This window comes from Homo sapiens, chromosome 12 (assembly GCF_000001405.40).
Source record: "Homo sapiens chromosome 12, GRCh38.p14 Primary Assembly".
NCBI classification, from domain to species: Eukaryota; Metazoa; Chordata; class Mammalia; order Primates; family Hominidae; genus Homo; species Homo sapiens.
The window spans coordinates 46,510,888-46,536,368 of NC_000012.12; the positions used below are offsets into that span (position 1 = coordinate 46,510,888).

The 25,481-nt window shown below is 41.4% G+C and overlaps 1 long non-coding RNA gene across 5 annotated transcripts in view, besides 3 other annotated features; it reads left to right on the forward strand.

The window, feature by feature from the left end:
• SLC38A4-AS1 (SLC38A4 antisense RNA 1) overlaps nt 1-25,481 on the forward strand; it is a 268,904-nt gene that overhangs the window by 127,212 nt on the left and 116,211 nt on the right. The gene's annotated exons all lie outside the window — the stretch shown is intronic.
• Nucleotides 6,027-6,076: an enhancer, noted in NCBI's record as "active region_6250". NCBI's record gives its function as "activates an Ori minimal core promoter by ATAC-STARR-seq in GM12878 lymphoblastoid cells {active_cell/tissue: GM12878}" and the evidence as "EXISTENCE:reporter gene assay evidence [ECO:0000049][PMID:35858748]".
• Nucleotides 6,267-6,356: an enhancer, noted in NCBI's record as "active region_6251". NCBI's record gives its function as "activates an Ori minimal core promoter by ATAC-STARR-seq in GM12878 lymphoblastoid cells {active_cell/tissue: GM12878}" and the evidence as "EXISTENCE:reporter gene assay evidence [ECO:0000049][PMID:35858748]".
• Nucleotides 6,527-6,706: an enhancer, noted in NCBI's record as "active region_6252". NCBI's record gives its function as "activates an Ori minimal core promoter by ATAC-STARR-seq in GM12878 lymphoblastoid cells {active_cell/tissue: GM12878}" and the evidence as "EXISTENCE:reporter gene assay evidence [ECO:0000049][PMID:35858748]".

The following is a 25,481-nucleotide window of genomic DNA, read 5'->3' on the forward strand; positions in this document are numbered from 1 at the left end:
ATGTATGTCTTCTTTTGAGAAGTGTCTGTTCATGTCCTTTGCTCACTTTTTAATGGGGTTGTTTGTTTTTCTCTTGTAAATATCATTAAGTTTTTTAAAGATGCTGGATATTAGACCTTTGTCAGATGCATAGTTTGCAAATATTTTTCTCCCATTCTGTAGGTTGTCTGTTTACTCTGCTGATAGTTTCTTTTGCAATGCAGAAGCTCTTAAATTTAATTAGATCCCATTTGTCAATTTTTGCTTTTGTTGTGATTTCTTTTGGTGTCTTTGTCGTGAAATCTTTGCCTATTCCTGAGTCCAGTATGCCATTGCCTAGGTTGTCTTTCAGGGTTTTTATAGTTTTGGGTTTCACATTTAAGTCTTTAATCCATCTTGAGATGATTTTTGTATATGGCATAAGGAATGCGTCCATCTTCAATCTTCTGCATATGGCTAGCTGGTTATCCCAGCACCATTTATTGAATAAGGTCTTTCCTCCATTGCTTGTTTTTGTCAGCTTTGTTAAAGATCAAATGGTTGTAGATGTTCAGCCTTATTTCTGGGCTCTCTATTCTGTTCCATTGGTCTGTGTGTCTGTTTTTGTACCAGTAACGTGCTGTTTTGGTCATTGTAGCTTTGTGGTATAGTTTGAAGTCAGGTAATGTGATTCCTCCTCTGCTTAGGCTTGCCTTGGCTATTCAGGCTCTTTTTTGGTTCCATATAAATTTTAAAATATTTTTACTAGTTCTATGAAGAATGTCATTGGTATTTTTATAGGAATAGCATTGAATCTGTAAATTGCTTTGGGCACTGTAGACATTTTAATACTATTGATTCTTTCTATCCATGAGAAGGGGATGCTTTTACATTTGCTTGTGTCTTCTCTGATTTATTTGAACAGTGTTTTGTAAGTTTCATTGTAGAGATCTTTCATTTTCCTGGTTAGGTGTATTCCTAGGTATTTTATTTTGTGTGTGTGTATGGCAATTGTGAATGGGATTGCCATTCTGATTTGGTTCTGTTTGGTTGTTGTAGTTGTATAGGAATAATAGTAATTTTTGTACATTGATTTTTTTATCCTGCAACTTTGCTGAAGTTGTTTATCAGTTGAAAGAGCTTTTTGGGCTGAGACTATGGGGCTTTTTAGATATAGAATAATGTCATCTGCAAACAGAGATAGTTTGACTTTCTCTCTTCCTATTTGGATGTCCTTTATTTCTTTCTCTGGCCTGATTACTCTGACTAGGACTCCCAATACTACGTTGAATAGAAGTGGTGAGAGAAGGCATCCTTGTCTTGCGCCAGTTTTCAAGGTGAACCCTTCCACCTTATGTTTATTTTGTATAATGTTGGTTGTGGGTTTGTCATAGATGGCTCTTATTATTTTGAGGTTTGGTCCTTCAATACCTAGTTTGTTGAGAGTTTTTTTAACATGAAGGGATGTTAGATTTTATCAAAAGCCTTTTCTGCATATATTGAGATAATCATGTGGTTTTTGTCTTTAGTTCTGTTTATGTGATGGATCACATTTATTGATTTGTGTGTCAAACCCACCTTCCATCCTGGGGATTAAGCCTACTTGATTGTGGTGAATTAGCTTTTTGATGTGCTGCTGGATTTGGTTTGCAAGTGTTTTATTGAGAATTTTTGCACTGATGTTCATCAAGGGTACTGACCTGAAGTTTTCTTTATTTGTTGTGTTCTGCTGGGTTTTGGTATCAAATGATGCTGGCCTCATAGAAATAGTTGCAGAGAAGTTCCTTCTCCTCAATTTTTTGGAATGGTTTCTGTAGGAATAGTACCAGCTCTTCCTTGTACACCTTATAGAAATCGGCTGTGAATCTATCAGGTCCTGGGCTTTTTTTTTTGTTGGTAGGCTATTACTGATTCAATTTCAGAGCTCATTATTGGTCTGTTCAGGGAATCAATTTCTTCCTGGCTCAGTCTTGGGAGGGTGTATGTGTTCAGGAATTTATCCATCTCTTCTAGGTTTTCTAGTTTGTGTGTTTAGAAATGTTCATAGTAGTTTCTGATGATTGTTTGCATTTCTGTGGGGTCAGTTGTAACATTTGCTTCATTACTTCTAATTGTGTTTATTTGAATCTTCTCTCTTTTCTTCTTAAGTAGGCTAGGTAGTGGCCTATTTTATTGATTTTTTTTCAAAAAAACAACTCCTGGATTTGTTGATCTTTTGAATATTTTTCTGTCTTGATTTCCTCCAGTTCAACTCTGATTTTTGTTATTTCTCATCTTCTGCTAGCTTTGGGGTTAATTTGTTCTCGCTTCTTTGATTCTTTCAGTTGTTAAGTTGTTAATTTGAGATTTTTTTTTTAGCTTTTTGATGTGGGCATTTAGTGCTATAAATTTCTCTCTTAACCCTGCCTTAGCTGTGTCCCAGAGATTCTGATATGTTGTATCTTTGTTCTCATTATTTTAAAAGAGCTTATTGATTTCTGCCTTAACTTCATTATTTACCCAGAAGTCATTCAGTAGCACGTTGTTTAATTTCCATGTAATTGTATGATTTTGAGCAATTTTCAGTGTGTTGACTTGTATTTTTATTGCACTGTGGTCTGAGAATGTGTTTGGTATGATTTTGGTTCTATTTGTTGAGGATTGTTTTATGTCCAATTATGTGGTTGACTTTAAAGTATGTGTCATGTGGTGATGAGATAAATGTATATTCTGTTGTTTTGGGTAGAACCTTCTGTAAAGGTCTATTGGATCCGTTTGGTCCAATGCTGAGTTACCATCCTGAATGTCTTTGTTAATTTTCTGCCTGGATGTTCCATCTAATGCTGTCAGTGGACTGCTGAAGTCTCCCACTATTACTGTGTGGGAGCCTATGTCTCTTTGTAGGTCTCTAAGAGCTTGCTTTATAAAACTGGGTGCTCCTGTGTTGGGTGCATATATATTTAGGATAGTTAGGCCTTCTTGTCGAATTGAAACCTTTATCATTATGTAATGCCCTTCCTTGTCTTTTTTGATCTTTGTGATCTGAAATGAGTTTTGTCTGAAAGTAAGATTGCAACCCCTGCTTTTTTCTGTTTTTCATTTGCTCGGTAGATTTTTCTCCATCCCTTTATTTTGTCATTACATGTGAGATGGGTCTCTTGAAGACAGCATACATACCATAGATGTTTCTTTTTTATCCAGTTTCTCACTCTATGCCTGTTAAGTGGGGCATTTAGCTTGTTTACTTTCCAGGTTCATATTAATATGTGTGGATTTGATCCTGTCATTGTGCTGTTAGCTGGTTATTATGTTGGCTTACTGTGTGGCTGCTTTACAGTGACACTGGTCTGTGTGTTTACATGTATTTTTGGATTAGCTGGTAGTGATCTTTCCTTTTTATATTTAGTGCTTCTCTCAAGATCTCTTGTAAGACAGATCTGGTGGTAATGAAGTCCTTCAACATTTTCTTATCTGAAAAGGATCTTATTTCTCCATCACTTAGGGAGTTTAGTTTGGCTGCATATGAAGTTCTTGGTTGAAGATTTTTTTCTTTAAGAATGTTAAATATAGGCCCTCAATCTCTCTGGCTTGTAGGGTTTCAGCTGAGAGGTCCACTGTTAGCCTGATGGGGATCCCTTTGTAGGTAACCTGCCCTTTCTCTCTAGCTGCCTTTAACAGTCTTTCATTTTGACCTTTGAAAATCTAACAATTATGTGTCTTGGGAATGATCTTCTTGTGTAGAATCTTGCAGGAGTTCTCTGTATTTCCTGAATTTGACTGTTGGCCTCTTTAGCAAGGTTGGGGAAATTTTCATGGATGATATCCTGAAATATGTTTTCCAAGTTGTTTGCTTTCTCCTCCTCCCTTTCAGGGATGCCATTGATTTGTGGATTTTGCCTCTTTATATAATCTCATACTTTTTTGGAGGTTTTGTTCATTCCTTTTTAGTTTTTTTTTTTTCCTTATTTTTGACTGTCTTGTTTCAGAAAGCCAGTCTTCAAGTTCTGAGATTCTTCCCTTAGCTTGGTTTATTCTGCTGTTAATACTTGTGATTGAATTGTGAATGTCTTGTATTGTGTTATTTAGCTCTTTCAGACTCATTAGGTTCTTTTCTTATACTGGCTGTTTTATCCTTCAACTTCTGTATCACTTTAATGTGATTCTTATTTTCCTTGGATTGGGTTTTGCCATCCTCCTGAATCTTGATGATCTTCATTCCTATCCATATTCTGAATTCTATTTCTGTCATTCCAGCAAGTTCGAGCTTGCTTGGTTAAGAGCTCTTGTTGGAGAACTGGTGCTGTTATTTGGAGGATGTAGGACGCTCTGGCCATTTGAGTTACTAGAGTTCTTGCATTGATTCTTTCTCATCTCTGCATGTGGGTGTTCCTTTAACTGTAGTGTAGATGAATACAGTCAAATAGACTTCTTTTCTGGATGTTTTCACTAGGCCAAGGCTTTGTGAGGGTCTTTATTTGAAGCTGACTTCTTGTCTCTGGTTTCAGAAGGGGTTATGTTAGTGAGATATTTTTGGTGTTGAAGCTTTGGAGTGTGATCCAGAAGGTGACACTTAGGCCTATTGGTCAGTTGGTAGACTCTTGCTTGGTTGGGTGGTTTCCCTATGTTTCCTCACAGTTGGAGCTGTTTTACCTCTTAGTGCTCTGAAAGTGTGGATACCTCTCCACCCTTTAGTTCTGGCTGTAGTTCGTGACTTGGCACTTCTGGGCTGCTCACTGCAGCTCTGGGGCAATCTCAGTGTTTATATTCCTTCCTCAGCTTAGAGGCCATAGAGGAAGAGATCTTAGTGGTGGTGTGGCCAAGGGTCATTTTATTGACTCCTGGGGGCTCCACCCCAGGAAGATGCAGGTTAGCAATCACTCAGTACAGTCAGCCCAAGATGGAGGGTCTGTGCTGTGAGCCCAAGCCAGAGATTCCCTGTCTGGTGACTAGCCATGGAGGGAGGATGGTGTGGGACCCGTGGGAGACAGACTGGCCTCTCCTTGGATTAACTGCAGCTTGTTGGAGGTGTGGATAAGGCACTTAGGGTCTTTCCTCCTTTATTAGTCTGAGGGTAGCAAGGGCAGTTCTCTACTGAGAGGCTTTCAGTTGCTCCTGGAGGGTCTGTCCAGGGAGTTGCTGAGTTGGTGCTGGCTTGATTAGCTCTGACAGGAGGTGGCTGGAGGCCCAGGCCTGGAGGACCTGCATAGTGAAGAGATATGGAAACAGTCACCCATGTAACAGTCTGGCCACTTTTCCATAGGGCTGCTATGGTATGCTTCAGGCCTGCTCCAGTTCCTAGTCACCTTGGATTTCGCAAAACCTAGAGGTGTCACCAATGAAGCCTGTGAAACAGCAAAGATGGTAGCCTGTCCCTTCCCCTGGAAGCTTTATCCCAGGGAGGTACGAACCTGTTGTCAGCCCAAAGACACTTGTAGGAAGTGGCTGGGGACCCTGGTTGAGAGGTCTCACCTTGTGAGGAGGAACAGGATTGGGACCCACTTAAAAAAGCAGTCTGGCCTTGTTTTGATAGAATAGCTGCATTGTGCTGAGGGTTCACTTCAGCCCTTGGTCACCTCAGGTACTCTGAAGCCCAAAGGCTGGAACAGTTAAGTTGCCCAAACAGCAAAGATAACAGCCTGCCCCTCCCTCTGGGAGCACCCTCCCAGGGGGAATTCACAGTTCTTTTGGCTGGAGAGCTCAGGTGGGAGTGGCTGGAGGTCCTGATTGGGAGGCCCCACTCGTGAGGAGGAACAGGATCGGGCACCTGCTTAAAGCAGCAGACTGGCCATGTTTTGGTAGAGCAGCTGTGCTGTGCTAGGGGATCTCTTCTGCCCTGGATTGGCTCAGACTTTCCAAAACCTGAAGGCTGGAACGACTAAGGCACTCAAACAGCAAAGATGGCAGCCCACTCCTCCCCAAGAAGCTCCTTCTTAGGGAGGTGCAATGCTGCTGCTGGTAGCCGGCTGGAATTTCAAGCCAGTGGGTCTTAGCTTGTGAGGTGGTGAGGATGTGGGGCCTGTGGACTGTTCCTGCTCAGCCCCCTGGATTCAGCCTCTTTCCTAAGGGTAGGTACAGGAATCTAACCTCCGATTTTGCCAGAGCTGCAGCTACTTTTGCCAGAAAGCCCAAGCACCTAAACCTCCACGTTCTCCACACATGCCTGAGTGGCTGTTCTGGTGAGAATCCAGATGGCTCTGTCAGACTGAAGACTGAAGGCCCTGGTGGTGTGGGTTCACAGGGAGATCTCCTGAGCCAAGGGTTGCAAAGATCTGTTGGAGAAGCGATCCCAGGGTCACTCATTCACTCACTGCTTTCTAGGACTGGGGAGGATCCCCTGGCTCTGTGCTGTTCCCCAGTGGGCCGTTGTTCAGTGTCCTGCTTTTCTTTGTTTTCTGTGTGTCAGGTTGTTTCCTTGGTTAATCCTAATGCGAGTACTTGCATGTTTCAGTTGAAGGTATTGTTTTTACTCGCCCCTCTATTCCTCTCCGTGAGAGCCACACATGCTAGCTGCTTCTAGTTGGCCATCTTGGCCACTCCACCCCCACTACATTTCTATGTAGCTTAAGCCTAGTTTTCAATAGGGCTTAATGACATGCCTTGGAGAGTTCCTCTCATCAGTTTTGTTTCCACTACCTCTGGGTTGGTTTCATTTTCAGGTGATCTTTCTCTCCTGGTTGCAATATAGTTACTAGAAACCATAAAAGCCTCCCAAGCTGAAATGCTGCAGACAAAATTTGAGAGTCTTTGGTGTGGCATCCCCCACTAAAGTCTTACTGCCTCTAACTGGATTATTTGAGTATCCATAAAACTATCATTATGATCAAGAAAATGTGAAATATTAATTAGATTAGACCTGGTTTTATTCTCTACTCTAAGGTTAAAGTATGAACTAGTTTGGAAGAGGGATTACTTCAAGGGGGACCAGTAGAGGGGGCAGTGTATGACAAGTGGCAAAAACAGTTGATGGCATGTGATTATTTTTCCCTCTGCATGCATGGCAAACATGAGAATCAATTATAGTACTTTTTTTCTCATTGTACCTGGACATGGCTTCAGCAACTTTGTCAACGTAGGGCTTTAGTCAGCCACTAACAATCCACAGGAGTTGGCAACCAAGATAAACATTTTATACCATCACTAGCCTAAAAGCAGAAAATACATGGAAATCCTTAAAGGAAGGCATGCTTTTACTCACCAGTAAATCAAGGAAAATGCACACTAAAAGAATTCTATAGTAAGACCAAAATTGATCATTGATGAATGGAGCATTTTTAGTTACTCCTTCCTTTGTGGGGTGTGTGTGTGTGTGTGTGTGTGTGTGTGTGTGTGAGAGAGAGAGAGAGTTTATTATGAAATATTTTGTTTATAGTTTCTGAAAAACTCTCTGAAGTTGTGAGACAGTGATAAATTTGTTCTTTTCAGGGTGGTCATTAAAAGCATTGGAAAACATTCTGTGATTTCAGTGGCATAATGTGACCAAAATAACTCTTTATTTTTCTACAAGAAAAATGCAAAACATAAGCAACTGAAATCAGATGTAAGCAGATTGGCTTCCTTTGAGGGCCCAGTGGTCAGAATTTTAGAAATTCTTAGCCTGAACCCTGACTTTGTGTTACTGGCACCCAGGACTAGCATGTAGATAGCCACCCATGTGACCAGGGGAGTCCCAGGAGGCCCATTCCTTCCTGTGCCATCCTCCCAAATGCTCCCAGCATTTGCTAACTTAGGCCAGAAATTCCAGAATTAAATATTTATTTTTGTGACTTGAAAACTTTGCTTCTTTGTTCTCCTTTTAAAATGACCCTTAGAAGGACCCTATGAAGAATGGACCATTAAGTTCTACTGGCCCTTTACAACACTATCAGGAGTGTCAATTTGTCTTTTGAAGGCAGGTTTTATTATATGAGAGGTGGGAAAAATATTGGGGGATGGGGTACCAAAAAGGGACAAAAGTGTCCAGAAAGAGGAGGCTGAGAAAGCCAAAGACAGATGTGTTCTCTCACTTTGTTGTAATGCCTTAGCTGCAGCCTTGGGGATGTGATTCGAGAACCTCCAAATTTCACTGTGTTTATTCTGTCCATCCATTCCACGTTAATTTCACAACATTGTTTACTTGCTATGCTGAAGGCACTTACAGCAATACAGGGACATAGTTTCTGACTGAAGAATCCTAATTACTTAATCACATGTGGAAAAATAGTAATGTCGCTCATTTTGTGTAGTGTTTCAAAAGTTTTCAAGTTAATGATCCTAAAATTGCTATGTGATTATTTGTACCCTCCAGTCTAGAAAAGTATGTTATTTTCTCAATCACAAAATGTACTTTCTCAGTGTTCTTTTGGGGTTTAGCAAGTAAGTCAACATGATAATACTGAAACATTTCACTTTGTCAATTCTGTAGTATATTTATACACTGTTCTCAGTCATCTTTTCTTTTCTTTCTCTTCTTTCCTCTTTTCTTCTTTTCTTTCCTCTCCTCTTCTCTCTCTTTTGAACTCCCTCTGTCCTCTTTCCTCTTCTCCCTCACTCCTCTTCTGTATTACACCCTTTCTCTTCTTTCTTCTCTATAACCATCTCTCTGCCTCTCTTTCTATAACCCCTGTCTCTTTCCTTCTCCTTCTTTCCCTCTCTCTAAACCTGCCTCTTTTTCTTTCTTCTCCTCCCCCATCACCCTGTCTTTCTCCTTTGTTGCCTCTTTTCTGCTTTTGGAATTTGACCTCATTTGCTCCCAGTGCACACAGACTTTTGTGTGGTGAGGAAAAGGAGGAGTTTGACCCCAGGTAGCTGTAAGTTTACACCAGCCCACCCTTCATCCTACAGAGCATGAAAAGAATGCCACTTTTTAAATGTCCATCTATAAGTTAACTCAATTAGCTGGCTTGAGTTGTGTCTACTTTATTGGGTCAGTCACGTAGACCAGGGGGATGAGTGCCATGATGGAGCCCATCCTGGTTGTGGGCCCATCCTGGCCAACCATAGTTACTGTGATTGGCAATTCCACTAGAACTAACTGGGGATAGGGAGTGTAGTCTCTGCCCAAAGTGGGAGTGTTATTATCAGAAGAAATTGGGAAAGAGACACTGAACACAAAAAAGAAAAACAAAACAAAAACAAAATAAAAGGCATTATCTGTCTCCCCACCCCTATGTCCAGAATGCAATTTATACATCATAGGAACTAACAACGTCACAGGTAATTTTGTCTCTAAAAAATTCATGAAATACAAGCTAAAGGCTATGAATATTTATTTTCCTGCAGTCCTAAGCTATTCTCTCCTGTTGAATGTGGTAGCTAATATGTTCTTTAACACCTAGTGACATTCACTCTAATATAAAGAACAGTCCGTTACCATATTAAAAAGCAGCTTGTGAAAGCATCACAAAACATTTAAAGACCTCTAGAATAAACTAAGGGATCAACTCAGTTCAGCCCAAATATTTGTTGAGTGTATATTTTGTCCTAACATTACCAGATTAAATTATAAATATGTCAGGAAGAAAATAATAAAATGAATAAATGATACACATTTGAAAAGGAAGAGATTTGCTAAATGTATCTACAGCGTAAGTCCTTAGACTTCGGGTCCAATGCTGAGGAGTGGGAGAGTGGACATCCTCAGAAGGGATGAGCTCTGCACACCCTCCCTTGGTGTCTGAAGGAGGTGGTGGTGGTACCCCTTGGCCACCATCTTATATTCTTCCTCCTAGCCCTTCATATGTACCATGGTAACAAGACCTTACCCTCTCGTAGTTATCACAGGGCTGTTCAGCCAATAAAATGCTTTTCTGTGCACTGTCTCACTTGGTTCCACATCACTGCCCTGTGAGGGGGGCAGGAGAATCAGCATCAGACCTAGTGAAAGAAGGACATCCAGGGAAGTAAAGTGGCCTGTCCAATGTCACACGGATTATCAGTGAGAGAGCTAGGACTCCAATTGAACTTTTCTTAGTGCAAGATATGAATTTCGCCCACAATATGACTATAAAGCTCTCTTTCTCAGGAGAGGAATGGTGGAGAACCACGTCTTCCTTCCTCGAGTGCCCTTCCTCCCTAACTTACACTGGAGTGGTCTTATCAGAACTCTCTTTCACTGGTTCCTGATCTTCCCTGGCCTTCCACGTGCAGGTATCATTTAAGGCAGTGGGGCTCAAAGCTCATTAATTGTCACAATTCCCCTGGTGAACTTTAATACCTCTCCCAAACCCTCTTCACCTCTAATAATGGCAGAATCCTGGTCCCAACCCCTTCTTGACTTTGGCTAATATTTTGACCCTGTTGCAGGTCAGGATCTCCAGAAGGCAGACTCTGAGACATAGTTAGGACTGCAATAGGTTTATTGAGAAGTGATTGCGGTGAAAGAAAAAGAGCAGGATTGGGCACAGGAGCCATCAAATGGCATGCAGATCTGATAAAGTTCCTGCCAGTCCAGTGAAGAGTCCTGTAGCAGAGAGCCTGTTAGAGGAGCACTCATTGGGTGTAAATGGCCAGGTCCTGTACTACTGCCTTGCTCAGTTACTGTCTGGGCAAGAGTGTGACCTTGAGAAGAGTGTGACCTTGGCTTGCAAGCTGAAGAGGCTAACAGCTGGAGGTTGTCTGTTCCCCACAGCCCTGACAGATGGGCAGTGACTCTTCTCTTAAAAGCAGGTCTGAGCTGTACCTCTCCATCCATGCCACAGACGTCTTTTAGTACATTGATTAGTGTTGGTTAATTGTTTTATGTTTTTAGGTCTTACTCAGTAACTACAGTAAAACCTTAAGAGTCAGGACCATTAAAAAAACTCATTCTGCAAAGCAGCGCAGTAGATTTCCTATTAGGTTATAGGTTGAATAGGAGAAAAAAAATAATTGAGTGCCTCTGGAAAAAAAAAGATGTTGATCTTCAAAACATCCACAGAAGAGAGATAAATATTACCTCTCTTGGTAACTTGACATGTTGCAACTAAGAACAAATGATACACATGAGCTTTATTTAAAATTTAGTTAAGCTTCAGGCTTTTTGGTCTGTTAGATGGCAAATATTTAATGCACTAGTGGAAACAAATTCTTAAGGTTTATACTTTGGAAGATGAATAGGTCTAAGTCAGTCACAACTCTCAGATTTAGATTTGATTGACTAACAGGTACAACCTTGCAAAAGAAGCTGGCTGTGTTCTTGGGTGATGGGCTGGTCGTGATGCAGGTTACCAGCCCTTAGGCTTTTCTTTGTTTCCATGAGGGCTGCCACAGAACTGGCCCTAAACACTTCTGTAGCACTCTCAAGCTCAGGGAATGAATTCAGGGTCTGATGAGTGCCATCAGAAATACATCTTGCAGGAAGAGATAGTAATTGGAATAGTTGTGAATCTAGCCAGATACTTTGTATCATCCTTGTGCAGTATTACCACATGTTAGATCTTCCTGTCGTTATTTAGAAGTAACAGCTAAAGCAATCATTCCTACACACTTCATTTTGACAGTGCAAAAGCTTTAAAATATGTTTCCCTGATGGCAAAATATGCTTGATAACCAGAGAGAACTATCCTTTAAAAAGCAGTTTTTAGTGCACAAACAGCTGTCTTCCATTTTTGGCATACAAAGGGAACAACTAAAATGACTAATCTCACTAAGTATTACAATAAAAGTGCTGACAAAACCTTAACTATATACTTCACATCTTTAGTAGCCCTGTAATTACAGCTCCAGTTTAAAAAAAAAAAACAACAAAACAAAACCACAACAACTTCTAGAGCACATTTAATTGCTATTTGCACTTATCATTGTCTTTCTTCCCATAGGAGGGTTATACACTGACCCCCAATATCAGTCATTTATCTGTCCCGGAAAGGTAAATGTGTTATTGAATACGACATCTTTTTTTAATGTCATTTCTATTATCCTAGCAGATACTCTGGAGGATAACTAATAGTGCTTGATCAGAATTGGGGCTTGGACAACTTAGTAAATATCATGCTGCCATCTATACTTTATTAACTGTCAACCTGCATTGATTTTTATCTTTTCCTGTACAAATAAGTTTTGTGAATTGTGTATCAGTGAAGCAGAAGCCTAACAATAATCTCCAGGACATTATATTTAGAAAATGTTCATTTAAAAATATGTTTAGGGTTACCAAGGGATAAATAAAGGAGATTTTTTTTTTAAATCAAGTTTACCTCTGTATTACTTAATATATTTAGGAATTGTTCCTCAAAAAATCATCAGGGCTGTAGGTAAGTTTGCAGTCACATCTGCCTTTCCTAACATGTTTTCTTTTTTTCTTTTCTTGCTTTCTTTCTTGCTTTTTTTTTTTTTTTTTTTTTTTAGGTGGAGTATGTTGCCCAGGCTGGAGTGCAGTGGCGTGATCTCTGCTCACTGCAACTTCTGCCTCCCAGGTTCAAGTGATTCTCGTGCCTCAGCCTCCTGAGTAGCTGAGATTACAGGAGCATGCCACAGTGTCCAGCTAATTTTTGTATTTTTAGTAGAGAGGGGGTTTCACCATGTTGGCCAGGCTGGTCTTGAACTCCTGACCTCAGGTAATCCGCTTGCCTCGGCCTCCCAAAGTGTTGGGATTACAGGCGTGAGCCACCGCGCCTGGCTTCCTAACATGTTTTCATTTTCACATTTCCTCTTGGAATCCTGTAATGAGCTGGAGATGGGAAAAGGGATTTATGCTTCTGATCTTTTTTGAGACCCACTGGTGGGAGAGTAGGTGTTGTGACCAGTGTCTGTGGTGGCCTCTATAATTCTTAGTCCCACCTTGGACATCCTTGTTGGTTTACGGCATTAGGATGTTGGCCCCTCCCAGGAGGGCCTGTGGAGCCTATAGCCACATTCCTGCAGGTTGCAGCTGCAATGCTTAATCCTGCCAGTCTGACTGTACAAAGGACAACATCCTAAGGATAGTTAGGAGCACAGAGTCAGATGCTGGGTCTCCCACTTAGAAAGTGCATGACCTTGGGCAATTTTGCATAGCTTTTCTAATTCTTAGTTTTCTTACATGTATAACAGGGATACTACTACTACATCGCTATGAGAAAAAATGAGATAATATGTATGAAGCTCTTAGCACACTGCCTGGCATAATGAAAGCATTCAGAAAGTGATGGCTATATTTATTATTTTGACTAACAGGAGACTCAGACTACAATGCAGCACGTCCGGAAAAATGTTTAGACACAGGAAGCTATTCTGGAGAAACTGCTTACATTAAGATTCTTTTGACTGTAAAGAAACGAAACCTTGTTTGAACTAGCTTCCGCCAGAAGGAGACTGAATGAAAGTCATAGGGCAAAGATGAAAGGTAGAGTAAGCCTCACAGGGTGGGGCTGGGAGCTAGAAGGCACAGCTGGGCTACTCTATCTTTTCATATCATCGTGGCCTTCCCATCTCTGCCTCTGTCTATGCTTCTGTTCCCTCCCGCCCCGTCTTGACCAAATTCCTCTGCTTACTCACCTTGCGTATGACTCCAGTGGCCTTCCCGACAGCACTGATAGCAACTGGCTTGTGTGTGTCTTGATACACAATTTGTGAGGGTCTGATTGGCCCAGCTCATCTGTTTGAGCTGGACCACATGAGTCATAAGCCACTGTCTAGCTAACGGATTGAGTTCTCTTTGGTCAGTTGTTCATCATGATCCAGTCATGGCCCATGCAGTTAAGATCATATGGGAGGATAGAGCTGCCTCTTTCAGACCAGTGGGCAGAGCAGGTTTTCTTGAAAAGATTAGGAATATCTAGTACAGTTTTCCTGAGAGACTTGACCACCCTGCTGCTGGCAGTTTTGGTGATTTAGTCCTAATGACAAGGACCCAATTATGGAGAAGTAGAGAAGTCCTAAAAACTGGTGGTGTCTCTACTTGTCTCCCCAAATGTGGCTGCTGTCAAGGTAATTGCTCAGTGAAGAAGTGTTTCTCCATCTGTGCCTTTCAGGGCAGAAGGTCAGAATGGGAAGGACTATGCCAGATTTTTCCAAGCATAGGAAAGAGCAAGTAAAGAGACTGGGGATGGAGATGGGAGGAGGCTAGGGGTAGGAGATAGTTCATGTGGGTAAGGATGCTAAATCAGTGTGGCTAGCTTGTTGAGGAACTGTGACTCCTCAGGGAGGTCAGAGAAAAGCAGGCGTGGGAAGTCCTTTAGGCTCAGGGAAGTGGCTGACCCAAGAGGGGGAATACATTCTAAATTCCTCTGGCACAGAGCCCCAGGGGCCTGGTGTTTCTCTCTGTTCTGACAAGGGAGGTGGCTGTTTGCCTGGCGGAGCTGCTCACTGCAAGCTGCAGCTGTGCCTCATTCTCCCATGTGACATTGAGTTCTCTGGAGAGCTGGACCAGGGCAGCTGGAACAGGTTAGTAAAGACAAGGATTCCCCAGATGTGTAAATCCTAAACCAGACAAGGAGTTCTTCATGTTCTCCCCAAGGAGGAATGGTTTGGAGTCACTGACTACAGTTAAAATGCAAAAGAAGGTCTGTTGCTGTGGAGATATCTGGAATAGGGCCTAGCCCTTGAAGTAATTGATAAACACCTGAAGTCCTCGCTCCTGGTCTTGCCCAAAAGTCTTCACATTTTCACTTTGGTTGGGGGAGGTGGTAGCTTGATTATGACAAAGTCTCCTGGTCTCATTTAGTTGCCTTTTAGCAAATAATGTGACCCATTGTGCCAAGTGGATGGGAAGGGAGCTTCTCTTATTCCCTGGGCAGTAACCAAATGGTCTTAGACAAGAGAACCAGCAATTCAGGTTTTGGATCAGTGCTTTTGTGCCCCTTACAGAGAAGGGAGAGGGTGATGGACAGCAACATGGCGAGGAGGGGAAGTCCACAGAAAGCAGTCGCCAGCAGATTGAAGCAATGATAATTAAAGTAACAACAATAAGAGGTACCATTTATTTAGCACCTACCATTAGGCCTTTGCACACATTTATTTCTCCACAAGCCCTGCAAATTAGCTATTAAAATATCTGTTGTACAGATGAAGGAACTTAAAGTGATTAAATAACTTGCCCAAATCCAGACAGTGGCTAAATTGGAGTCTGAGACTCAGTCTATCTGACACCAATGTCCATGGAAGTTCTGCTACCATTCGCTGATTCTCCAGATTGAGATGCTAAAAATAATAAAGAGGATACAAACAATTAAAAAATGAAAGAAGTTTCACTTAGAGGTCTGGATGAGAGAAAGAAAGAAGACGAGACACTAAGCCAGAATGGGAAGAGAGAGGCACAGGAAGGGCAGCCATGGTCCGGGATTTGAGGATAGCATAGATTCACTGAAAAGTTCAGGTCGTCTGGGTTGTCTGGGCATGTGGGTTTAGGACCCCTTTGCTAGGGAAAAGAATAAAGCTCAGTTGGAGGGTGCCAAGAAAAGGTGGAAAATAAATCCATATACTTTTCCCAGGATTGTCTACATTCCAGAAAAGTTGAAAAGGAGTGTTCTTTAGAGTCCAAGAAGAAAAATCAGCAAGAAGAAAAATGCCTTTGGGCATTTTTTTTTTTCAAAACTAAAAAGCAATGTATTTATCTTTGCCAGCATTCAAGTAACTAGAAGTATTCTGGATGGGGCCACATTTCAAAAAGCTCTGAGTAGGCGCACAGGTGCAATGCCAAATGCAACAGCTGAGAGGCCACCTCCCCACCCCGCTGGCCCTACCCCCTGCTCTGTCCCCTCCAGAGTAGCAATGCTAACAGCTGACCTACCGAAACATGCAAATCTAATGTTACATGACAGGGACTAATCCATGTGTGAACTTCTGAAAAGTGAACTCTTCTCTTTTGGGCACTTCAGATTTTCATTGGAAAAATCATATTGTGTTGAGAAAAATTTCTAGAGACATCTTTGTGTTCTGCTAATTAAGTAGAAAAGTCCTAAATTTCTCTATTTGTCAATCTTTATGAAGGTTTCCCCAGAATATAAGTCTCTCCATTGGGAATACAATAAGTGAGGAGAGCTCAGGGACTGAAGTTTTCATCATAAAGAGTGATGTCTTACTACAAAGAGTGTCAGCAAAATCTTAAAACACGTTGGTTTATTTTTAATGGCAAGACAGTCTCTATATATGATCATGACGCCTCCAACTGTATGAATTGCTACACAATGTGCCATGTTCCTTTGTGACTCCAGGGATGAGCTTATTGAGACATGGAGCAGTGTACAATGTGAGGCACATCATTTTCTAAACTGTATTCTGTAAAAACTACTCCCAAGATAAGTTCTTTGAAAAGAGGGTATCATAGTTAAATCAAATTGAGAATTGCTGCATATAAAAAGATAATCTCTTGCAGGTTCATGATATGCCCTCTTTTCCACAGAGCCTAGACCAGGTCTCAGAATTCTTTCAACGTAGTGCTCTAGTAAGCTCTACTAATTGACTGGTTTTGGTAGAGGAATGGAAACTACTTACCGTCCTTTTTCTACTCTGGCCTAGTAAGTTTAGAAGCACTTAAAAATTGAATGAGGGCAAAATCAGGGGCTGCTCTGTGGCTTAGGACACCAGGGAAGCTATAAAAGAGAGTGCTAGCCCTTTTGTCTAAAGTCTTGTGTGGGAGAGTATTATTTACCAACTGAATCTATAATAGTAGAAGTTTTGTTCTGATAATGGGTTAGATAACAAAATGCCTTTGGGTGTTCCTGGGTACAGAGAGAGCTGGGCTTCTTAGCAAAAGCAGTTAACCAGGAGACAGGTAGACAACCCAGCAGGTAGTACTGCTACAGAATGCAATGTATGAATACAACTTTTCTCCAGGAATTGTATGGAATACTGCCACATCAACACACTAAGGAAGAAAAATTGCATAATTATGTCAATAGATTCATAAAAAGCATTTGACAAAATCCAACAGCCATTCATGATAAAAACTCTCATAAAACTAGGAAGAGAAGGAGAACTTCCTCAACTTGATAAAAAATACCTGCAAAATCCCTACAGCTAATGCCATACTTCATGCTGAGAAACTTAAGCTTTCCCACTGAGATCAAGAACAAGGCACGGATATTCCTTCTCACCACTGCTTTTCTCAATATCATATTTGAAGTCCTGGCTAATGCAATAAAAGAAGAAAATGAAATAAAAGATATATGGATTGATCAGGAATAAATAAAAGATTGCTCACAGATGATATGATTGTCTGTGAAGGAAATCTGAAAGAATCAGCAAAAAATAAAAATAAAAATAAAAAAAATCCTGGAACTGAGTGATGATAGTAAGGTTGCATGATGCAAGCTTAATATTCAAAAGTCAATTGCTTTCGTATATACTAGCAATAAACAGATGGAATTTAAAATAAAAACACAATACTATTTACATTCGCATGCAAGGAAATGAAATACTTAGATATAAATCTAACAAAATATGAACAAAAGCTCTATGAAGAAAACTAAAACTCTGGTGAAAGAAATCACAGAAGAACTAAATAAGTGGAGAGAGATTCCATGTTCATATAGAGAGCCCAGAAATAGACCCACATAATACAGTCAACCAATCTTTGACAAGAGCAAAGGCAATACAGTAGAGCAAAGATAGTCTTTTCAACAAATGATGCTGGAACCATGAACATCAATATGCAAAAAAAAAAAAAAATGAATCTAGACACAGTTCTTACACCCTTCACAAAATAAACTCAAAAGAGATCACAGACCTAAAAGTAAAATGCAAAACTCTAAAACTCCTAGAAGATTAACACAGGAGGCAATCTACATGACCTTGGGTTTGGCAACAATTTTTTTTTTTATATATACACCACCAATGGCATGATCTATAAATGAAGGAATTGGTAAGCTGGATTTTAGTAAAATTAAAAACTTCTGCACTGCTAAGAAAATGAGAAGACAAGTCACAGACTGGGAGAAAATATTTGCAAAATACATCTTTGATAAAGTACTGTTATTCAAAATATACAGATATATTTTAAACTCAGCAATAAAAAACAAACACCTCAGCTAAAAAATGGGCCAAAGAACTTAACAGACACCTCATCAAAGAAGATATACAGATGGCAAATATGCATGTGAAGTGAGGCAGCACATCATATGTCATCAGAGAAATGCAAGTTAAAACAACAGATACCACTACACGCTTATTTAAATGTTCGAAATCCAGAACACTGACAACACCAAATGCTGGTAAGGATGTGGAGCAACAGGAACTCTCATTCATTGCTGGTGGGAACACAAAATGGTGCAGCCACTTTGGAGGGCAGTTTGGCAGTTTCTTAGTAAACAAAACATACTTTTACTATACAATCTGGCAGTCACTGTCCTTGGTATTTGCCCAAAGTAGTTGAAAATTTATGTCCACACAAAACTCTGCATAGAGATGTTTGTAGAAGGTTCATTCATAATTGCCAACACTTGGAAGCAACCAAGATATCTTTTAGTCGGTGAATAGGTAAATAAAATGTGGTACATCTAGACAATGCAATATTGTTGAGTGCTAAGATGAAATGAGCTATCAAACCATGAAAAGACATGGAGGAATCTTAGATGCATATTACCAAATGAAAGAAGCCAATCTGAAAAGGCTACATACTGTATGATTCTAACTATATGGCATTCTGTAAAAGGCAAAACTATGGAGATAGTAATACGATCAGTGGTTTCAAGGGGTTAGTGGGGAGCATGGGATGAATAGACAGAAAAGAGAGGATTTTTAGGGCAGTGAAACTACTCTGTATGTTGCTATCATAATGAATTCATATCATACATTTTTCAAAACCCATAGAATGTATAGGACCAAGGATAAACCCTAATATAAACTATGGACCTTGGGTGACAATGTAGGTTCATTGATTGTAACAAATGTACCACTCTGCTGGGGGAACGTTGATAGTAAGGGAGTGCGTATGTGTGTGTATAGGGGAGGAGGGAATATATGGGAAATCTCTGTATTCTCTGCTCAATTTTACTGTGAACCTAAAGCTGTTCTGGAAAATAGTCTATTTAATAAAAAAATATATATTTAAAAATATAATTATTATTCTCATACACATTCTTTGTCCTGTTTTCTCATTTCTTTTTCTAGCAATCCTACTAGTCAGGTATCGAACTTCTTAGCTTAACCTTCTAATTTTATTTCCTTTTCTTTCCATTTCCCATTTTTTTGTCTTTTTGTTTCACGCTCTGGGAAGTAGCTCATTACATTCCAAACTTCTATTGATTTGTTTCCTGTAGTATTGTAAAATTTTCATAATAAATAAAAAACATCTCTGAGTTTTTTTTCCCTCACTCCCTGTGTCCCCTTACACAGATTCTGTTTTTCATTTCGTGGTTGCAGTATCTTTTCTTATGTATATATGTTGATGTTTATCATGGTTTTATTTTTATGTTTCATCCTTTTTCCTGAAATATCTGGGATTCTGTTAAGTTCTAGTTTTTAATGTCTATTTCTTTTTTACATTTCAAGCTTTCCTTCTATGTCTGGAGTTTTTGTCTCTCCATGTATAGTTAAGAGTGAGGCACCATAAAGCTGGCTGGGAACTAAGTTCAGAGTATTATTGTAGATGATAGTGATGGCAGCTGCAGGCTGCCTGGAGAGGCCACTGCTATCACACCAGTGGCTGCAGGGAGGGCACGGGGAGGTGGTGGACAGCCGTCCTGCAGCCCACAGCACTGGAGGCTACTGCTATGGGGCTCAGCTGGGTTGCCTGCTTGTGGGGGAGCAGCGTGGCAGGGGAGAAGTGTGGTTGGGCAGACGGGGGCCCTGAGGTGGAGGTGGGCCCGGGGCGGTGCCATACTTGCACATGGAGTGTGAGAGTCGGCCCTCGTGTGTGGAACTGGGGTCATGCTTTGGAGGCCCAGGGTGGGAAGTGGGAGTGGTACCTGCTTTGGGGACCTGGCCAATGGTGCAGCCACTGTGCCCACCCCGTGGAGGGCGCCGGGTTCCTGTATCTCGGGAGGAGGCTCTGTTCAAGGCCACCCAGGTCTGTATCCCCAGGGTCCACCCCCCACTGGGTGACTGCCGAGCCTGACACTCCCAATGGCTGGGCCAGGGCTGCAATCCGCTAAGCCCTGGGCCACCCCTGAATGCTGCGGGAATCAGGGAGCTCATGGCAATGTGGCCCCTGCCCCCAATGCTGGCCAGGGCACAGTGAGCACCTGGAGTGCCCACCCCAGGCTGTTAGGGGCTGTGGCTGTGGCTGCATGCCCACTGAGCTGGAGGGGGCTGGGATCAGGCAGGAGCCTTCCCCCCATCCCCTGCAGCCCCCCACCTCTGGGTTGTTGCAGCCTCCCAAGTCCTGGCTGTGGACTGGGCCTTTTTGCACTGTTGGGGGCCCAGGAAGGCCCCCACCTTGCCCTTGCAGGCCCTGAGGTGCCTGCTCCCACTGCCTGGCCTCTCCCCACTCCCAGCGCCCTCTCAGATCTTGGAGAGTGGTTGGGGCTGAGCCTGGGCACTGTAACAGTCTAGCTAGGTGGGCGTGTGCTCAGGGAAGTGCTGACACAACAGCCCCCTGCTGTCTTGGCCCCCTCTGGACTTTGACCGCTGACAAGCCTGAGGGCAGGGAAATCGAGGGGGTCACTGAAGGTGGCTGGGAGCTGGCTTGCAGGTGCCCATTGGTGTGAGCAGCCTGGGTGCCATGGACAGTGGCAGGAAGCAGACAGCCTCCTGGATGGAACAGGGCAGGTCCCCAGTGAGGCCCCACCTTCAGGCCTGGGAGGGCCTGAAGGCTGGGGACTGGGCTGCCAGTCCCACAGACTGGAGTGGGGACTTGTGGTGCCTTTTCTGGGACCTCCCATGGCCACCCATGGACTAATTGGCAGGCACTCCTCTGAGGCCCATAAAAGCCCTGGGCTCAGCCAGAGTAGAGCAGAGCAGATGACAGAGAGACGACAGGATGACCATCTGCAGAGAGGAGCTACCCTCTCTTCTAGGAGATGAACACTCGTTGGGAGACCCTGGCTGTGGAAAGGAGCTACCCACTGTGGTTCCCCTCTGAGCTGTTCTGTTGCTCAATAAAGCTCCTCTTTCTCTTGCTCACCTTCTACTTCTCTGTGTAACTCATTCTTCCTGGTTGCAGGACAAGAACTCAGGAGTGGTGAGGTTAAAAGAGCTATAACACAAACAGGGCTGAGACATGCCCCTTGCTTGGCATGTTGCAGGTGAAGAGAAGGAGAGAAGAGCTGTGGCCCTTTGGGGTGCCCAGTCCTGGGGGCTCCCGAGCCAGTGCTGTGACCCCTTCCTTGGGACCCTGGTGTCTCCAAGCTTCCAGGTGCCACCATGTTCCCTGGTGCCAGCCGTGGAAGCTGCTTGTGGTTTGTCTGGTCCAGCTGTAGCCTGACAGAGAGCCGGTGCCCATGCTGGTACTTGGAGCTGCCCACTCTGCTGTAGCAGCTGCACAGAGGTTTCCAGCCAGAAAAGTGCTGCCCCAAAGATCCCATAACAATAGGACAGAGAGTTAGCTTTTCTGTTAGTTGGGCCACAAATATTAGTAAAAATGGCTTTTTAAGTATGTGGGTTTATTTAGTTTTGTTTATTCATAGAAGGATTCTCCAATTTGTTACCTTGCAGGTATCAGCTTAGTTGCCAGTGTTCTGATGGGGGCGGGGTGTGTGTGGTGGGGTCTCATCTTTTTATTTACAGACTTTCACTCAACCTCCCAGTTTTAGTCTCATGGGTCATCGTTAGCCTCTCTCTTGACCTTTGCTGGGCTGGGCAATTCCATGGCTAGGAGGTTCTCTGGTTTATTTTATCCAAAGAATGAACAATCTATGTTTTAGGGGGTGAGAAGGAATAGTCAGTGGGGCTTGGGCATCTAATCCTATGCAGATTTGAAGCCAGTCCTTTTCTGCTCCATATCTCATCTCCACTTTCTGTGGAACTCTTTGGAGAAGATTCTGGAGTGAATTTTTTGTATCTAGATAAAATCCCCAGCTGTAGAGACTGAGTTTCAGCTTTTTCTGTTCTACTAAGGCAATCACCATGCTTTCATCTACTTTTCATCTTGAAAAAAAAAAATGACATTGCCTACTCTTAAATTCTCTTTGTAACTTTTCGCTTTTTAATAGGAGACAAAGAAGATGAACACATGATTTCATCCACCATGTTTAGCCATGGATAATATGCTTTCAAATCTATATAGTTTTTAATGTCAAGGGAAAATGCTCAGTTTGTGAAAAAGTTAAAAGAAAAAACTGTGAAAGGAAGCATACCAAGGTTTATTTCTGGGCTGTGAAATTATTAGTGATCAGTTACTATTTTGTTTAAAAAATCTTTTCTGCATTTGCTAAATTTTCTATAATAAGTAGATAGGCACTTTCATGAGAAAATAACTTAAAAATACATTTACAAATCTATACTGATGCTTACATTAGCTCAGCAAGGTCAACTTTAATTGCAGTGACCTGAAGAAGGAAAAAATGTTTATTTTCTTCATGCCAAATATTGAAAACCTTTAATAATAATTAAATGTATGTGGTAAACAAGCTATAATCTTTCAGATAAGAAATGGTGAATTTTCTTTTCACTATTAATGTGAATTCAATTTCTATAGACAATGGTTAGCAATATATATTTTAAGATTATATAACTGGTAGATATTAAAGATCTAATGTAAGAATGTACTCCATACGTATGGTTACTTTGATATTAGAAGGTGCTTTACAATACCTGACTATAATCTAAGAGTATTCCAAAATGGGCTATAGGAAATATCAGCTCCATCTGATTCTCTGCAAAGAAATGTTTGCAAATTGTTACGTAGTATTTTATTTTCCTGGAGCAATAATTCACATTAGGGAACTGAAGCCTTGGAGTATACTGTGGTAAAGAAACGTGGCCAATTTTATCGATTTAACTGTTTGAATAAGAGTTTTTGAAACTTATTTTGACTGTGAAACCCTTTCTCCCCCAACAAAATCCCTCCCTGTAATCCTGGCCATTATCATTATTATTGTTATTATTATTGCCACTTAAATTTAAATGTCAGTGTTTTATTCATTTCAGGCAATAATGATGTCCTTTAGGCAGAGAGATTATGAAGCCACACTTGACTTTTCTGGTTTGGTAGACTCGAACCATTCAATTTATTTAGTGACTGAGTAAAGTAAAAGTAACTATGTTGGATAGGTCCTCCATTGCTTTAGGCAGGAAGCAGGAAAATATTTTACTGCTCTTGTGTTGTGGGTTGGAGTAATTTCCTCATTTTGTTTTCCCTTGTTCTTGGATAAGGCTTAGAAGGTCAATGGTTCCAAGTTGTTTCCCAGCAGCCATGGCATTTTGTAAAGCCTGAAGCATCTTGTGGGAGTGTATTTGCTGAAATATATCTGTAGGTGCTGGTTATTGTCAAATTGTACGTCTGGAGCCCTGAGATATGAAGGTTTATTGTCTAATTTTCAAGTAAACACAATTTTAATGAAAGTAATCATTTAGGGATTTTCTTTAGCACATTTGCTTTGTATGTCTGGACTCCTTTTATTAAAGGAAATGGGAAAATAATTTGGGAATCTAAAATAAATCAGACTTTATCTGTTGATACTGTTAAACTGGACTATCTGAGCATAAAAATGGTGGGATTTACAATAAAATAAATTGCTTGGAAATAATTGGCTCTTCTAAAGCAGTTTTTCAAAGCCTCACCCTCTAGGTAGTCCTTTCATAGTGGGAGGCCACTGGGTTTATTACAAAGTTTGAGCGTCTAGACAGACAGGTTGCAGTTCCACTACACAGCTCTGAGATATTACTATTGGTACTATTAATAGCAACTTTTATTGAGGGCTTAGTGTATGCTAGTTATTGTGCTACAGGCAATACATGCATGAGCTCTTTTAATTTTTACTACACTGCATCAGAGAATTGGACTAGAAGGCTCCCTATCTTTCTTCCAGCACTAAATATCTCAGGAAATATGTCTCAGCTGCCAGACCTTTGTTCCACTCTGGGGAGATGGGGAAGTCAGGAAGCAAAGGAATCTTATCCTCACTCAAAGGGGTGTGTAGACAAACTCAAGAGGCTGAGTTGGAACTCAGAACCATTTTCCATTCCAAACCAATACATAATCTAGTATAACATATATTATAATCAGATGGCTTAAGTGGGCTTTTCTGGTGGCCCAAATGTCTGATAGCTATTAAAATTTATATAGCATTGTTTTCTTGAATCATACTCTGTTTCAATTGGGTAGGGGAAGAGGTGGCTTGTATTGGGATTCACGGGGCCATTCTGTCATGAGGGTAGCTGGGCAGACAGAATTCTGTTTATATGTTTTAAACACAAGTTATTTCATCCTACACGTAAGAAAATTGGGCAGTGTGTGTCACTCCCAAGTGGGTCACTCCTTCTTCTGATGTGTAGGCACGATAGAACTCACCATCTATCCTTTATCTTCCTAAAAAGGTCTCTTACAAAACACTCAGAGGGAGCTTGCAGAATTCGTAGGAAACTGAGCTGAATATTTATTGAACTCTGTTACTTTTCTGATATCATCTTTTTTTTACTGTCACCGTTTGACTGGTTATCTTCTGAAAGACTACTGGAAAGAATTCTTTGCTCAGTTCCTATTAGGGTTTTAATGATTTCTTTCTTACCCCATTAGGAAATATTAACAACTGCATGTTAAATAGTTAACCAAATAAGAAAGATAAAATCAATCAGTGTTTAAATTACATCTGCTGAGTTTAAATCATTTAGTAGGTAAAGGCTTCCTTATCTTTCAAATGTGAAGCCTTATTAGAAAACCAGATATATTTTTTTCAAGCAGCTTCAATACTTTGGCAGTTCTTGGAGATTGGCTGGACCGTTCAGTTTGAAGCAGACGGATTTACTAGGGCCCCAGATCATACAGCCAAGGGTTTATAGAGATTCTGGCACTTCTAACAATCATGAAAAGGCAGCCCTACACAAAATGCCAAAGTGTGAGCAGAGGGACTGTGACAGGGCCTCTTACAAGGCTAAAGAAATCCGACAATCAGAGATCTATTATTTTGGCTTATGATTTTGTCACCTAGTAAATTGTAAAAACCCTGTGTGAGAGTCAGCCTTGTGAGTTTATCAAAAACTTTCCTGGGAGCAGCATTTCATGTTGATGATTAGGACAAAACTGGACAGCTAGGGCTGGAGACAGGGAATTGACAGTGGTCGGCACATTGGTGGGAGGAGGGAGGGAAGGCTGAGAAAAGGCAGCTGATGATGAGCGGAAGGCTACAGACAAATTTTACCTATTTCATTCATTTCTTTATTCGACAAATATTTATTGAGAATCTACTGTGTGTGAAGCACTTTGTTAAGGGCCAGGGAAGAAATAATTGGGCTTCTGGAAGTTCTGACTGTGGGAGAGAGGCAGCCCTGTCAACAGGTACTAACGGCAGTATGTAAGAAGTGTCACAGTTGGAGCAGGCAGCGAGAAGGGGAGGATCCCAGAGGAGAATGTGTGTGTAGCAGGGTCACAGGGAGCCATCTCGAGATGGTGATGTCTGAATTTTTTTCTTAAAACATAAATAGAAATGTTTACCCAGATGAGAAGCCACTGTAGGCTGAGAGACAGCCTGGGCAAAGGGCACTGACTGAGAGGTAGCCCGGTTGTATTAGTCTGTTCTCACAATGCTATAAAGAAATACCTGAGACTGGGTAATTTATAAAGAAAAGAGGTT